Source organism: Homo sapiens, chromosome 9, assembly GCF_000001405.40.
Source record: "Homo sapiens chromosome 9, GRCh38.p14 Primary Assembly".
In the NCBI taxonomy this organism is placed as follows: Eukaryota; Metazoa; Chordata; class Mammalia; order Primates; family Hominidae; genus Homo; species Homo sapiens.
In genome coordinates, this window is record NC_000009.12 from 128,770,892 (window position 1) to 128,785,915 (window position 15,024).

Here is a 15,024-nt window from a genome sequence, read left to right on the forward strand (position 1 = left end):
GAGCGCGGTGGCTCATGCCTGTATTTCCAGCACTTTTGGAGGCTGGAGCGGGCGGATCACTTGAGCCCAGGAGTTCGAGACCAGCTTGGGTAACATAGTGAGACCCCATCTCTATTTAAAGAAAAACAAAACAAAACAAAACGAATGGACTGACAAACACAGGCAAAGACTGGAAATCTTGGGCTCTTTCGGTCAAAGAGCAGCCAAGACAAGTTCCACCCAGAGAGCTATAGTGGCCAGCACAGTCAGTTTCACTATCAACTCACCTGTCGGGCTCCCTTGGCCCTCCGGTTGCAACCTCACCCTGTTGGATTTCCCTATACTTTGTGTCATCCCTTTTGGGAGCTGATCCAGAATCCAAGTCGTCCTTGAGCTTCTAAGCACTTCTCTGGGGGAACTTAAGCTCATCCAACAGGTAGGAGGGGCAGAGGGTGGCCCTTTCAGCCCTACACCGATCCCCCATCTTGTAGGGGCAAACGACAGAGCGTCATTTTCTTTCTGGAGGAAGGGAGCTCAGTTTTAAAGACACGATTCTCAGACCTGGCGGCAGGGATAGAGAAAGGAACCCTCCCACCACTGGCGGAGATGGACCTCAGAGAGTGGTTGCAGCGGCGATGCTTAGGCCCCGTAGGCAGGAGGCGAAGGAGGAGGACGCAGGTACGTCCCTTGGCCCGGGGTCCGGGACCTACCCTGGACGGGGCTGCCCTCAGCGTCGGGAAGCGGACGTGATGCTTCGCAGGCGAGGAGGAGCAGAGAATGCAGCCCGGGAGAATCCGGGGCCAGAGCACCTCAGGAGGTTGGGGATCTCGTCAGGCTAGAGCCGGGGTCCAGGGGAGACGGGGGTCGGCGGGGCGGAGCTTGGGATCCCGGGGACGGGAGCTCCGGGAGGGAGGGGGTCGCGACGGGGACCCCGTGGCGGTTACCTTGCCCTTAGGGCTGCCGGCGGGGCTGAGGCTCCTGGGCCCGGCCCCTCCCCCGATCCGGCTCCTACGGCTCGGAGCCTGCAGCCGCCGCCGCCTCCGCTGTCAACAAACCCGGGGCGCGTCACTTCCGGGGCCGCCCCTTAGCAACAGCGATCGGGTTCCCCCGACCCGTCCCGCGGCTAACGCGGGCGGCGGCGGCAGAAGGTTCCGGGGACCGGCGGGCGGCTCCTTTCCCCGGGCCCGGCACGTTACGCCGGTGGAGGAAGCCGCGGGATGCCCCCCCCAGGCCACCCGAGAGAACGCGTCATTCAGGGCTCTCCCTGGCCTCCGAGGGGCCTGTTCGTGGGACCCTAGGATCGGTGCCCGCCCTGGCGCTGCGGTTCACCTGAGCCCAACACTGCTGAATAGCAGGACTGACTCTGGGCGCCAGCCCCCTCCATCCAGCGCCCTGTTGAACATGTCTTGCGTTCTCCACGGGTGGCTCACACTCGCGTGTCAACCCGCAGTCATCACCGTCCCCCAAAAGGTGCTCCTAACCTCCATCTAGGGCATGCGCCACCAGGCAACCGAGCTTCCAAATGGGAAATTGGGCGGCGACCTCGGCCCCTACATTTTCCTGGGCCCCTCGTCCAGTCTCCAAGTCCTAAGGATCCTGTCAAACCAGTTCCTTCTGGCCGAGCGCAGTGGCTCACGCCTGTAATCCCAGCACTTTGGGAGGCCGAGGCACGCGGATCACCTGAGGTCAAGAGTTCGAGACCAGCCTGGCCAACATGGTGAAACGCCGTCTTTACTAAAAATACAAAAATTAGCCGAGCGTGGTGGTGCGCGCCTCTAATCCCAGCTACTCAGGAGACTGAAGCAGGAGAATCGTTTGAACCCAGGAGGCAGAGCTTGCAGTAAGCTGAGATCGCACCACTGCACTCCAGCCTGGGCGACAGAGGAAGACTCCATCTCAAAACACCATCATTTCTTCTCTGGATTTCTCTTTTTTTTTTTTTTTTTTGAGAGACGGAGTTTCTCTCTCTTGTTGCCCAGGCTGGCGGGCAATGGCCCTCAGCTCACTGCAGACTCCCCGGGTTCAAGCAATTCTCCTGCCTCAGCCTCCAAGTAGCTGGGATTACAGGCGCCTACTATCACGTCTGGCTAATTTTTGTATTTTTAGTAGAGATGGGGTTTCGCCATGTTGGGCAGGCTGGTCTCAAACTCTTGACCTCAGGTGATGCGCCCACCTCAGCCTCCCAAAGTGCTGGGATTACAGGCGTGAGCTACCACACCCTAGCTAGATGCTCCTTTCTTGAGGAACCCTTTCTTGACAGGTGCCTCAGTTCCATTCCAAGAACTAATTTTGTGGATTTCTTTTTTCTTGCATAGCACCTTTTAATCTTTGACCAGCTACAACTATGTTCGTACAGTCTTGAATCCTTAAAAAAGCTGTTGGGCTTGGCACAGTGACTCACAACCTATAATCTCAGCAGATGGGGTTGTCGAGGCTGAGGCTTGAGCCCAGGAGTTGGAGATCAGCCTGGGCAACATAGGGAGACCCCATTTCTACAAAAATTAGCAGGGCATGGTGGTGCGCATCTGTAGTCCCAGCTACTCGGGAGGCTGAAGTTGGAGGATTGCTTGAGCCCAGGAGGTGGGGAGGTACGGTTTTATGCTCCTTAAGATGGACATCATCAGAGAGACAATAACAAATGTTGACGAGGATATGGCTAGATGGGAACTCTCATATTAATACATTGCTTGGGCCAGGCGTCGTGGCTCAAGCCTGTTATATCAGCACTTTGGAAGGCCAAGGCAGGCAGATCACGAGGTCAAGAGTTTGAGACCAGCCTGGCCAACATGGTGAAACCCCGTCTCTACTAAAAATACAAAAATTAGCTGGGCATAGTGGCGCACGCCTGTAATCCCAGCTACTTGGGAACTTGGGAGACTGAGGTAGGAGAATCGCTTGAACCTGGGAGGCAGAGTTTGCAGTGAGCCAAGATTGTGCCATTGCACTCCAGCCAGGGCAACAGGAGTGAAACTCTGTTTCACAAGAAAAAAAAAAAAAGCCCGGTTTGGTGGCTCACGCCTGTAATCCCAGCACTTTGGGAGGCTGAGGTGGCCTGATTGCCTGAGCTCAGCAGTTCGAGAACAGCCTGGGCAACACGGTGAAACCCTGTCTTTACTAAAATAAAAAATTTTAAAAAATTATCCAGGTGTGGCAGCATGTGCCTATAGTCCCAGCCACTCTGGAGGCTGAGGCAGGAGAATTGCTTAAACCCTGGGGGCGGAGGTTGCAGTGAACGGAGATCACGCCGCTGCACGCCAGCCTGGGCAACACTGTGAGACTCTGTCTCAAACAAAAGAAAAAGAAAGAAAACAGAAAACAAATAGGAAATAAGAAACAAATAACAGGCCAGGCGCGGTGGCTCATGCCTGTAGTCCCAGCACTTTGGGAGGCCGAGGCGGGCAGATCACGAGGTCAGGAGACCGAGACCATCCTGGCTAACATGGTGAAACCCGGTCTCTACTAAAAATACAAAAAAATTAGCCGGGTGTGGTGGCAGGCGCCTGTAGTCCCAGCTACTCGGGAGGCTGAGGCAGGAGAATGGTGTGAACCTGGGAGGCGGAGCTTGCAGGGAGCCGAGATGGCGCCACTACACTCCAGCCTGGGCAACAGAGCGAGACTCCGTCTCAAAAAAAAAAAAAAAAAAAAAGAAACAAATAGCAAAATGGGCTTAGATTAAACCAGGAAAATAATCATAGTGAATGTAAGGGTCTAAACACTTTAAGTAAAAGGCAGAGTTTGTCACATTGCATAGAAAAGCAAGCCCCAGGCTCATGCCTGTAATCCCAGCACTTTGGGAGGCTCAGGTGGGCGGATCACTTGAGGCCAGGAGTTTGAGACAAGATGGACAACATAGTGAAACACTGTCTCTACTAAAAATACAAAAAAAAAAAAAAAAAAATTAGCCAGGCGTAGTGGCATTTGCCTGTAGTCCCAGGTACTTGGGAGGCTGAGGCCAGACTGGGTGACAGAGCAAGACTCTGTCTCAAAAAAAAAAAAAGAAAGTAGGAAGGAAGGAAAGAGAGAGAGAGAGAAAGAGGGAAAGAGAGAAAGACAAGAAAGGAAAAAAAGAGAGAGAAAGAAAGAAAGAAGGGAAGGAAGGAAAGAGGGAAAGAGAGAAGGAAAGAAAAAGAAAGAAAGAAAGAAAAAGAAAGAAAGGAGGAGAAGAAGAAGAAGAGAGAGAGGGAAGGAGGGAGGAAGGAAGGAAGGGAAAGAAGGAAGGAGAGAGAGAGGAAAAGAGAGAAAGAAAAGAAGAAGGAAGAGAGAGAGAAAGAAAAAAGAGAGAGAGAGAAAGAAAGAAAAAAGAAAAGAGCGAGCTGGGCAGAGCAGCTCACACTTGTAATCCCAGCACTTTGGGAGGCTGAGGCGGGCAGATCACCTGAGGTCAGGAGTTCACGACCATCCTGACCAACATGGAGAAAACCCATCTCTACTAAAAATACAAAATTAGCCGGGCGTGGCGGCGCATGCCTGTAATCCCAGCTACTCAGGAGGCTGAGGTAGGAGAATTTCTTGAACCCGGGAAGTGGAGGTTGCAGTGCGCTGAGATGGCATCATTGCATTCCAGCCTGGGCAACAAGAACGAAATTCCATCTCAAAAAAAAAAAAAAATGGCTGGGCACAGTGGCTCATGCCTTCATGCCTGTAATCCCAGCACTTTGGGAGGCCGAGGCTGGTGGATCATGAGGTCAAGAGATCAAGACCATCCCTGGCCAATGTGGTGATACCCTGTCTCTACTAAAAATACAAAAATTAGCTGGGTGTGGTGGTGCATGCCTGTAGTTCTAGCTACTTGGGAGGCTAGGGCAGGAGAATCACTTGAACCCAGAAGGCAGAGTTTGTGGTTAGCCAAGATGGCGCCAATGCACTTCAGCCTGGGCAACATGAGCGAAACTCCATCTCAAAAAAAAAAAAAAAAAGAAAGAAAGAAAGAAAAGAAAGAAAGAAAGAAAGACAAGCTCTCACTTTGGGAGGCTAAAGTGGGAGGGTCACTTGAATCCAGGAGTTTGAGACGAGCAAGGGAAATATAGTGAGATCCTGTCTCTACAAAAAATTTAAAAATTAGTGAGGTATGGTGGCATATGCCTGTAGTCCCAGCTACTCAGGAGGATCTCTTGAACCCAGAGGGTTGAGGCTTTAGTAAGTCATGATGGTGCACTGCACTCCAGCCTGGGTGACAGAAGGAGACCCTGCCTCTAAAATTTTTACTTTTAAAAAAGCAAGCCCCAACAAAATGCTGCCTATAATAAGCCCACTTTAAATGTAAAGACAGAAATAGGTTCAAAGTAAGAGGCTGAAAAAAGATATAGTTTCGATATAGCAAGCCAAATTCAGCAGCATATTAAAATAGCAATATACTATGACCAAGTGAGATGTGGGAATGGGATTTATTGTTGGAATTCAAGGATGGTTCAACGTATGAAAATCAAGTACTGTAGGCTGGGCTCAGTGGCTTATGCCTGTAATCCCAGCAATTTGGGAGCCTGAGGCGGGCAGATCACCTGAGGTCAGGAATTTGAGACTAGCCTGGTCAATATGGTGAAACCCCGTCTCTACTAAAAATACAAAAATTAGCCAAGCATGGTGGCAGGTGGCTGTAGTCCCAGCTACTCAGGAGGCCCAGGCAGAAGAATCGCTTGAACCTGGGAGGTGGAGGTTGCAGTGCGCTGAGATCAAGCCACTGCACTCCAGCCTGGGTGACAGAGCAAGACTCCATCTCAAAAAAAAAAAAAAAAAAAAATTCAGCCAGGCACCGTGGCTCATGCCTGTAATCCCAGCACTTTGGGAGGCCGAGGCAGGTGGATCACCAAGTCAGGAGTTCGAGACCAGCCTGACCAAGATGGCGAAACCGTCTCTACTAAAAATCAAAAATTAGCCGGGCATGGTGGCGGGTGTCTCTAATCCCAGCTACTTGGGAGGCTGAGGCAGGAGAATCGCTTGCACCTGGGAGGCAGAGGTTGCAGTGAGCCGAAATCAGGCCACCGCACTCTAGCCTGGGCAACAGAGCAAGACTCTGTCTCAAAAAAAAAAAAAAAAAGAGAAAAGAAAACCTTAAATAATGCACAAAAATTTATTAAAGCCAATAAATGAATTTAGCAGAGTTGCAAGATACAAAAGCAACACACAAAAATCAGTTGCATTTCCATATACTTTAAAAAAACCATCTGAAAAAGAATTTAATAAAACCAATTCCATTTGCAAGGGCATCAAAAAGAATAAAATAGAATAAATTTAACCAAGGATGTAAAAGACTTGTACACTGAAAACCACAAAACATTGCTAAACAAAATTAAAGAATACCTAACTAGGCTGGGTGCAGTGGCTCACACCTGTAATCCCAGCACTTTGGGAGGCCGAGGGTGGCAGATCAACTGAGGTCAGGAATTCAAGACCAGCCTGGCCAACATGGTGAAACCCCATCTCTACTAAAAATACAAAAATTAGCCAGGCATAGTGGCAGACGCCTTTAATCCCAGCTACTTGGGAGGCTGAGGCAGGAGAATCACTTGAACCCAGGGGGCAGAGGTTGCAGTGAGCCAAGATTGTACCACTGCACCCCAGCCTGGGCAACAGAGCAAGACTCTGTCTCAAAAAAAAAAAAAAAAAAATCCCTGCTGGGCGTGGTAGCTCACATCTGTAATCCCAGCATTTTGGGAGGCCAAGGTGGACAGATCATGAAGTCAGGAGTTCGAGACCAGCCTGGCCAACATGGTGAAACCCATTCTCTACTAAAAATACAAAAATTAGCTGGGCATGGTGGCACACCTGTAGTCCCAGCTACTCGGGAGGCTGAGGCAGGAGAATCGCTTGAACCCGGGATGCAGAGGTTGCAGTGAGCCAAGATCACGCCATTGCACTCCAGCCTGGGAGACAGGGCAAGAGTCTGTCTCAAAACAAACAAACAAACAAACAAACAAACCCAATGGTGGTTTTTGAAATACAGAAAAATTCATTCTCATATTCAGATGGAATCTCAAGGAACCCTTAATAGCTGAAACAAACTTGAAAAAGAACAAAGTTAGAGAACTCACATGCAAATCAAAACCACAGTGAGAGGCCACTTCTCACCTACTAGGATGAGTATCATTTAAAAAAAGAGAGCTGGCGTGATGGCTCACACCTGTAATCCCAGCACTTTGGGAGGCTGAGGTGGGTGGATCACCTGAGATTGGGAGTTCTCGAGACCAGCCTGACCAATGTGGAGAAACCCCGTCTCTACTAAAAATACAAAATTAGGCCGGGTGTGGTGGCTCACGCCTGTAATCCCAGCACTTTGGGAGGCTGAGGCAGGTGGATCACGAGGTCAGGAGATCGAGACCATCCTGGCTAGCATGGTGAAACCCCATCTCTACTAAATATACAAAAAAGTAGCTGGGTGAAGTGGCGGGCGCCTGTAGTCCCAGCTACTTGGGAGGCTGAGGCAGGAGAATGGCGTGAACCCGGCAGGCAGAGCTTGCAGTGAGCCGAGATCACACCACTGCACTCCAACCTGGTCAACAGAGCAACACTCCGTCTCAAAAAAAAAAAATTAGCCAGGCATGGTGGCGCATGCCGTAATCCCCACTACTCGGGAGGTTGAGGCAGGAGAATCGTTTGAACCCAGGAGGCGGAGATTGCAGTGAGCAGAGAATGCACCATTGCACTCCAGTCTGGGCAACAAAAGCGAAACTTCGTCTCAAAATAAAATTAAAAAAGGAGTCATGGTGGCTCATGGCTGTAATCCCAGCACTTTGGGAGGCCAAGGCAGACAGATAACATGAGCTGAGGAGTTCAAGACCAGCCTAGGCAACATGGTAAAAACGCATCCCTACAAAAAATAAAAAATTAGCCAGGCATGGTGGCACGTGCCTGTGGTCTGAGCTACTTGGGAGGCTGAAGTGGGAGGATTGCTTGAGCCTAGGAGGCAGAGCTTGTAGTGAGATGAGATTGTGCCACTGCACTCCAGCCTGGGTGGCAGAGTAAGACCCTGTCTCAGAGAAAAAAAAAAAAAAAAAGCTTTATTAGCAATAACAAGAGATTGGAATCACAAGGGATTGGTTAATAAGAAGTTAAAAAAAAAACTCTACAGAATATGGGAGTAGCAGATACAAGGAGCAGATAATGCCCCTTGGGGTAAGATATAGCTCTTAAAGAAATGGACTTCCCCAGAGATCCAGACCTTGTTAGAAAGACAAGGCAACTGGGGGCAGTGGCTCATGCCTGTAATCCCAGCACTTTGGGAGGCCGAGGAGGGTGGATCACGAGGTCAGGAGATCGAGACCATCCTGGCCAACATGGTGAAACCTCGTCTCTACTAAAAATACAAAAAAATGGGGCTGGGCGCGGTGGCTCACGCCTGTAATCCCAGCACTTTGGGAGGCCAGTGAGGGCAGATCACGAGGTCAAGAGATTGAGACCATCTGGCTAACACAGTGAAACCCTGTCTGTACTAAAAATACAAAAAATTAGCCAGGTGTGGTGGAGGGCGCCTGTAGTCCCAGCTACTCAGGAGGCTGAGGCAGGAGAATGGCATGAACCTGGGAGGTGGAGCTTGCAGTGAGCCGAGATCACGCCACTGCACTCCAGCCTGGGTGACAGAGCAAGACTCCATCTCAGAAAAAAAAAAAAAAAAAATTAGCTCTCCCTCCTCTCCCCCTCCCCCTCCCCCTCTCCCCACGGTCTCCCTCTCCCTCTCTTTCCACGGTCTCCCTCTGATGCCCAGCCGAGGCTGGACTGTACTGCTGCCATCTCGGCTCACTGCAACCTCCCTGCCTGATTCTCCTGCCTCAGCCTGCCAAGTGCCTGCGATTGCAGGCACGCGCCGCCACGCCTGACTGGTTTTCGTATTTTTTTGGTGGAGACGGGGTTTCGCTGTGTTGGCTGGGCTGGTCTCCAACTCCTAACCGCGAGTGATCCGCCAGCCTCGGCATCCCGAGGTGCCGGGATTGCAGACGGAGTCTCGTTCACTCAGTGCTCAGTGGTGCCCAGGCTGGAGTGCAGTGGCGTGATCTCGGCTCGCTACAACCTCCACCTCCCAGCCGCCTGCCTTGGCCTCCCAAAGTGCCGAGATTGCAGCCTCTGCCCGGCCGCCACCCTGTCTGGGAAGTGAGGAGCGCCTCTTCCCGGCCGCCCATTGTCTGGGATGTGAGGAGCCCCTCTGCCTGGCTGCCCAGTCTGGAAAGTGAGGAGCGTCTCTGCCGGGCCGCCATCCCATCTAGGAAGTGAGGAGCGCCTCTTCCCGGCCGCCATCCCATCTAGGAAGTGAGGAGCGTCTCTGCCCGCTGCCCATCGTCTGAGATGTGGGGAGCGCCTCTGCCCTGCTGCCCCGTCTGGGATGTGAGGAGCGTCTCTGCCCGGCTGCCCCGTCTGAGAAGTGAGGAGACCCTCTGCCTGGCAACTGCCCCGTCTGAGAAGTGCGGAGCCCCTCCGCCCGGCAGCCACCCCGTCTGAGAAGTGAGGAGCCCCTCCCCCTGGCAGCCACCCCATCTGGGAAGTGAGGAGCGTCTCCGCCCGGCAGCCACCCCGTCCGGGAGGGAGGTGGGGGTCAGCCCCCGCCAGGCCAGCCGCCCCGTCCGGGAGGGAGGTGGGGGGTCAGCCCCCGCCAGGCCAGCCGCCCCGTCCGGGAGGGAGGTGGCGGTCAGCCCCCCGCCCGGCCAGCTGCCCCGTCCAGGAGGGAGGTGGGGGGGTCAGCCCCCCGCCCGGCCAGCCGCCCCGTCCCGGAGGTGAGGGGCACCTCTGCCCGGCCGCCCCTACTGGGAAGTGAGGAGCCCCTCTGCCCGGCCACCACCCCGTCTGGGAGGTGTACCCAACAGCTCATTGAGAACGGGCCATGATGACGATGGCGGTTTTGTGGAATAGAAAGTGGGGAAAGGTGGGGAAAAGATTGAGAAATCGGATGGTTGCCGTGTCTGTGTAGAAAGAGGTAGACATGGGAGACTTTTCATTTTGTTCTGTACTAAGAAAAATTCTTCTGCCTTGGGATCCTGTTGATCTGTGACCTTACCCCCAACCCTGTACTCTCTGAAACATGTGCTGTGTCCACTCAGGGTTGAATGGATTAAGGGCGGTGCAAGATGTGCTTTGTTAAACAGATGCTTGAAGGCAGCATGCTCCTTAAGAGTCATCACCACTCCCTAATCTCAAGTACCCAGGGACACAAACACTGCGGAAGGCCGCAGGGTCCTCTGCCTAGGAAAACCAGAGACCTTTGTTCACTTGTTTATCTGCTGACCTTCCCTCCACTGTTGTCCTGTGACCCTGCCAAATCCCCCTCTGCGAGAAACACCCAAGAATGATCAATTAAAAAAAAAGAAAAAAGAAAAAAATTAGCTGGGCCTGGTGGCATGTGCCTGTAGTCCCAGCCACTTGGGAGGCTGAGGCAGGAAAATCGCCTGAACCCGGGAGGTAGAGGTTGCAGTGAACTGAAATTGTGCCACCGCACTCCAGCCCGGCAACAGAGCAAGACTCTGTCTCAAATAAAGAGAAAGGACAAGGCTGTGGCTCACTGAATGGTAGCAAAGTCATGGTGATGCTGCACTGATGAAACTTTCTGGAAATTCTACGTTTGAAACTTGCTGGAAATCAGCTGTGGTGTCATGTTGAAACCAACCCAATTGTCCCACAGAACTGATATTTATGGTTTTTTTAAAATAAATGTAGAAGTTGACCTTCATGAGTCTTGAAACTTGAAAATGTTACACTTGTCTTATCTGAATTTATTTCTCAGGAAACCAACTATCAGGCCTCCCAGATAGTATCAAGGAACTGAAACTTCCCAGATCACAGCATCTGTACAATGAGACACCAGACCCTTCACTGGTCATGATTACCTGACCACCTGCCACCTGCTTCCTGCTGAACAACTCTTCTTTCTTATCCTCCCCTAATTCCTGTTTTCCTGTATGTAGCTACATTTCTTTTCTGCTGTATAAACTCCTAATTTTAGTTGGTCACGGAGATGGATTTGAAGCTGATCTCCCACCTCCATGGCTGCAGTACCTGATTAAAGCTTTCTTTCCTGGCAGTACTGGTTGTCTCAGTGACTGGCTTTCTGTGCAGCCAGCAGCAAGACCTAGACAAAACCCCTGGTGTTTTGGTAATAATGTCACAGAACTTGCCAGAAATCAGCCATCTAAGGTTCTTGGGAAAGCTATTTACAGGAAAGTGTCCCACCAGAGGCTCCTTTCTGAAAATAATGCCAGAGAAGAGTGTTGGGAGACGTTCCTGGCTACTGGCAATGAAGTAGTAGGCAGGCGCTGGACAAGCCCCTTGTTCTGCAGAAGCCTGTCTACCAAGCACACTAAAATTGGAAAGGAAAGCCCATTCCATGCAGGAAAAATAGTTAAAGGTCCCAAATCCATTTTCTCAGAGCAGGAAATGATGAGAGAATTTGAAGCTGAGAGTCAAGAAATTGATTACTGGCACACTATGTAATCTTTTTACATTGTTTAACTTTTACGTTAGCAGCTTTGGAAACTATTTATTTCCAAAATTACTTTGTTATTGTTTGTTTGTTTTTGAGACAGCGTTTTGCTCTGTTACGCCAGCTGGAGTGCAGTGGTGTGAGCACAGCTCACTGCAGCCTCAAACACCTAGGTTCAAGCAATTCTCCTGCCTCAACCTCCCAAGTAGCTAGGATTACAGGTGCGTGCCACCATGCCCTGCTAATTATTTTTGTTAAATTTTTGTAGGCCGGGTGTGGAGCTCACTCCTGTAATCCCAGCTCTTTAGGAGGCTGAGGCAGGGGGATTGCTTGAGCTCAGGAGTTCGAAATCAGCCTGAGCAAGGTGGCAAAACCCTGTCTCTACAAAAAATACAAAAAATTAGCCAGGCATGGTGCCACAGGTATGTGCTCCCAGCTACTTGGGAGGTTGAGGCAGAGGATCTCTTGAGCCCAGAAGGTTGAGGCTGCAGTGAGCCAAGATCCCGCCACTGTACTCAGCCTGGGTGGCAGAGTGAGACTGTGTCTCAAAAAAAAATTTTTTTTTTTAAAGATGGGGTCTTGCTATATTGCACAGGCTAGTCTTGAACTCTTGACCTCAAGTGGTCCTCCTGCCTTGGCCTCCCAAAGTGCTGGGATTACAGATCATCTTGCTCAGCCTATTTCCAAAATTTTTCATTACCCCAAATAGAAACTGTAACCATTAAGCAATAACTCCCCATTCTCTATCTCTGTAGTCCCTGGTGACATCTAATCCACTTTTATTTTTTTATAAATTTGCATATCCTAGCTACCTTATACAAGTACAATCATACAGTGTTTGTCCTTTTGTGACTGGCTGTGATACTTAGCATAATGTCTTCACGGTTCATCATGTTGTAGCATGTAAAAAAGCCATGATATGTATATACAACATTTTGTTTATCCATTCATCTGTTGATCGTTACATGAAGTGTGTCCACGTTTTGGCTATTGGGAATAGTGCTGCAATTGGCATACAACTATCTGTTCCTGCTTTCTCTCTCTCTCTCTCTCTCTCTCTTTTTTTTTTTTCTCACTCTGTCACCCAGGCTGGAGTGCAGTGGATTGATCATCATGGCTCACTGCAGCCTCCAACCTCCCAGGCTCAAGTGATCCTCCCACCTTAGCCTCCTGAGTAGCTGGGACACCAGGTGTGTGCCACCATGCCTGGATAAATTTTAAGATTTTTTACAGAGACGGGGGTCTCATTATGTTGCCCAGGCTGGTCTGGAATTCCTGCCTCAAGCAATCCTCCTGCCTTGGCCTCCCAGAGTGCTGCGATTACAAGCAAGAGCCACTGCACCTGGCCCTGTCCATGCTTTCAATGCCTAGGAATGGAAGTGCTGAGTCATAGGGTAATTCTATGTTTAGCTTTTTGAGGAACTGTCATACTATTTTCCATAGCAGCTGCACCATTTTACATTCCCTCCAGCACATGTGTGGGTTCCTATCTCTCCACATCCTTGTCAGCAATTATAACTGTCTCTTTTTTTTTTTTTTTCTTTTTTTTTTAAGACAGGGTCTCACTCTGTTGCCTAGCCTGGAGTGCAGTGGCATGATCTCGGCTCACTGCAATCTCTGCACTCCAGCCTGGGGACAGAACAAGACCTCATCCTGGGGAGGGGGGGAAAAATGTGGTGGTGGGGATTTAAAAATGTACAATAGGCCAGGCGTGGAGCCTTAAGCCTGTAATCTCTGCACTTTGGGAGGCCGAGGACAACAGATCACGAGGTCAGGAGATCAAGACCATCCTGGCTAACATCGTGAAACCCCGTCTGTACTAAAAATACAAAAACTAGCCGGGTGTGGTAGCAGGCACCTGTAATCCCAGCTACTTAGGAGGCTGAGGCAGGAGAAGCACTTTAACCCGGGAGGCGGAGGTTGCAGTGAGCCGAGATTGCGCCACTGCACTCTAGCCTGGTGACAGAGTAAGACTCCGTATCAAAAAAAAAAAAAAAAAAAGTACAATAGGCTTGGCATGGTGATGCACGCCTGTAATCCCAACACTTTGGGAGCCCGAGGTGGGTAGATCACCTGATGTCAGGAGTTCGAGACCAGCCTGGCCAACATGGTGAAACCCCGTCTCTGCTAAAATACAAAAATTAGCCAGGTGTGGTGGTGGGCGCCTGTAATCTCAGCTACTTGGGAGGCTGAGGCAGGATAATTGCTGGAGGCAGAGGTTGCTGTGAGCCAAGATTGCGCCATTGCACTCCAGCCCAGCCAAGAACAGAGAGACTGTCTCAAAAAAAAAAAAAAAAAAAAAGTACAATAAAGAACGGGCAATAGGGACAGGCATGGTGGCTCATGACTGTCATCTCAGCACTTTGGGAGGCAAAGGTGGGCAGATCGCCTGAGGTCAGGAGTTCAAGACCAGCCTGGCCAACATGGAGAAACCCGTCTCTACTAAAACTACAAAAATTAGCCAGGCATACTGGCGCGCGCCTATAATCCCAGCTACTTGGGAGGCTGAGGTAGGAGAATTGCTTGAACTCAGGAGGCGGAGGTTGTGGTGAGTGGAGATTGCACCACTGCACTCCAGCCTGGGCAACAGAGCCAGACTCCATCTCAAAAAAAAAAAAAAATTAGAAGGCCAGGTGCTGCCAGGCATGGTATCTCACGCCTGTAATCCCAGGATTTTGGGAGGCCGAGGAGGGAGAATAACCTGAGGTCAGGAGTTTGAGGCCAGCCTGGCCAACATGATGAAAACCCGTCTCTACTAAAAATACAAAATTTTTTTTAAATCAAAAAATATAAAAATTAGCCAGGCAGGGTGGCATGAACCTTTAATCCTAGCTACTCGGGAGGCTGAGGCAGAAGAATCGCTTGAACCCGGGAGGCAGAGGTTGCCGTGAGCTGGAGATCACCCCATTGCACTCCAGCCTCGGCAACAAGAGTGAGATTCCGTCTCAAGAAAAAAAAAAAAGAAGGCCAGGCATGGTAGCTCATGCCTGTAATCCCAGCACTTTGGGAGGCCTGAGGTGGGCAGACACTTGAGGTCAGGAGTTTGAGACCAGCCTGGCCAACATGATGAAACCCTATCTCTACCTCAAAATACAAAAATCAGCTGGGCATGGTGGCATGCGCCTGTAGTCCCAGCTACTCAGTAGGCAGAGGTTGCAGTGAACTGAGATTGCGCCACTGCACTCCAGCCTGGGGTGACAGAGTGAGACCATGTCTCAAAAAAAAGAAAGAAGAGTATATATGCATAGCAAACGTGTGAAGAGATGCTCAACATCATATGTCTTTAGGGAAATGCATGTTAAAGCAGGAGATACCACTTCACATCTACTAGAATGTCTAAGATTAAAAAGACTGACCACATCAAGTATTGGTGAGGACGTGGTACAACAGCAACTCTCATATACTGCTGGGGTAGGTGTTAAATAATACAACCATTTTGGAAAATATTTAAGCACTTTCTTTTCTTTTTCTTTTTCTTTTTTTTTTTTTGAGATAGAGTGTCGCTCTTTCGCCCAGGCTGGAGTGCAGTCGTGCAATCTCCACTCACTGCAAGCTCTGCCTCCCAGGTTCATGCCATTCTCCTGCCTCAGCCTCCCGAGTAGCTGGGACTACAGGCACCCACCACCACGCCCGGCTAATTTTTTTCT

At 50.5% G+C, this 15,024-nt stretch overlaps 1 protein-coding gene and 1 long non-coding RNA gene across 11 annotated transcripts in view, besides 6 other annotated features; one reads left to right on the forward strand and one right to left on the reverse strand.

Annotated features, from left to right (window-relative positions):
- Nucleotides 1-1,595, reverse strand: part of ZER1 (zyg-11 related cell cycle regulator) — a 42,701-nt gene extending 41,106 nt beyond the window's left edge. For 3 of the 9 annotated variants that reach the window (NM_001375958.1, NM_001375959.1, NM_001375954.1), the window contains exon 1: nucleotides 924-1,036. The gene's annotated coding sequence lies outside the window, so the exon portion shown is untranslated. Of the gene's footprint in view, nucleotides 1-266; nucleotides 1,037-1,460 lie in introns of those variants that run through there. The other 6 variants (XM_017014188.2, NM_001375956.1, NM_001375957.1 and 3 more) reach the window with 3 other exon arrangements.
- Nucleotides 443-10,978, forward strand: LOC124902282 (uncharacterized). Of its 2 annotated transcripts, none has more exons than XR_007061804.1 (2): nucleotides 443-657; nucleotides 10,682-10,978. It is a non-coding gene; the product is annotated as an uncharacterized LOC124902282 (long non-coding RNA). The 2 variants fall into 2 exon arrangements; XR_007061805.1 differs by lacking the exon at nucleotides 443-657 and adding an exon at nucleotides 9,372-9,408.
- Nucleotides 623-672: an enhancer, noted in NCBI's record as "active region_29091". NCBI's record gives its function as "activates an Ori minimal core promoter by ATAC-STARR-seq in GM12878 lymphoblastoid cells {active_cell/tissue: GM12878}" and the evidence as "EXISTENCE:reporter gene assay evidence [ECO:0000049][PMID:35858748]".
- Nucleotides 863-1,332: a silencer, noted in NCBI's record as "silent region_20351". NCBI's record gives its function as "represses an Ori minimal core promoter by ATAC-STARR-seq in GM12878 lymphoblastoid cells {active_cell/tissue: GM12878}" and the evidence as "EXISTENCE:reporter gene assay evidence [ECO:0000049][PMID:35858748]".
- Nucleotides 1,401-2,127: an enhancer, noted in NCBI's record as "H3K27ac-H3K4me1 hESC enhancer chr9:131534571-131535297 (GRCh37/hg19 assembly coordinates)". NCBI's record gives its function as "activates a minimal SCP1, AML or CMV promoter by ChIP-STARR-seq in primed H9 embryonic stem cells {active_cell/tissue: H9 hESC(primed)}" and the evidence as "EXISTENCE:reporter gene assay evidence [ECO:0000049][PMID:30033119]".
- Nucleotides 12,659-12,953: an enhancer, noted in NCBI's record as "tiled region #12591; K562 Activating DNase matched - State 5:Enh". NCBI's record gives its function as "activates a minimal TATA promoter and a strong SV40 promoter by Sharpr-MPRA in K562 cells {active_cell/tissue: K562}" and the evidence as "EXISTENCE:reporter gene assay evidence [ECO:0000049][PMID:27701403]".
- Nucleotides 12,659-12,997: a biological region, named in NCBI's record as "CRISPRi-validated cis-regulatory element chr9.3033". NCBI's record gives its function as "regulatory_interactions: NAIF1".
- Nucleotides 12,663-12,997: a transcriptional cis regulatory region, noted in NCBI's record as "candidate enhancer chr9.3033 targeted for multiplex CRISPR interference". NCBI's record gives its function as "positively regulates NAIF1 gene expression in K562 cells {active_cell/tissue: K562}" and the evidence as "EXISTENCE:mutant phenotype evidence [ECO:0000015][PMID:30612741]".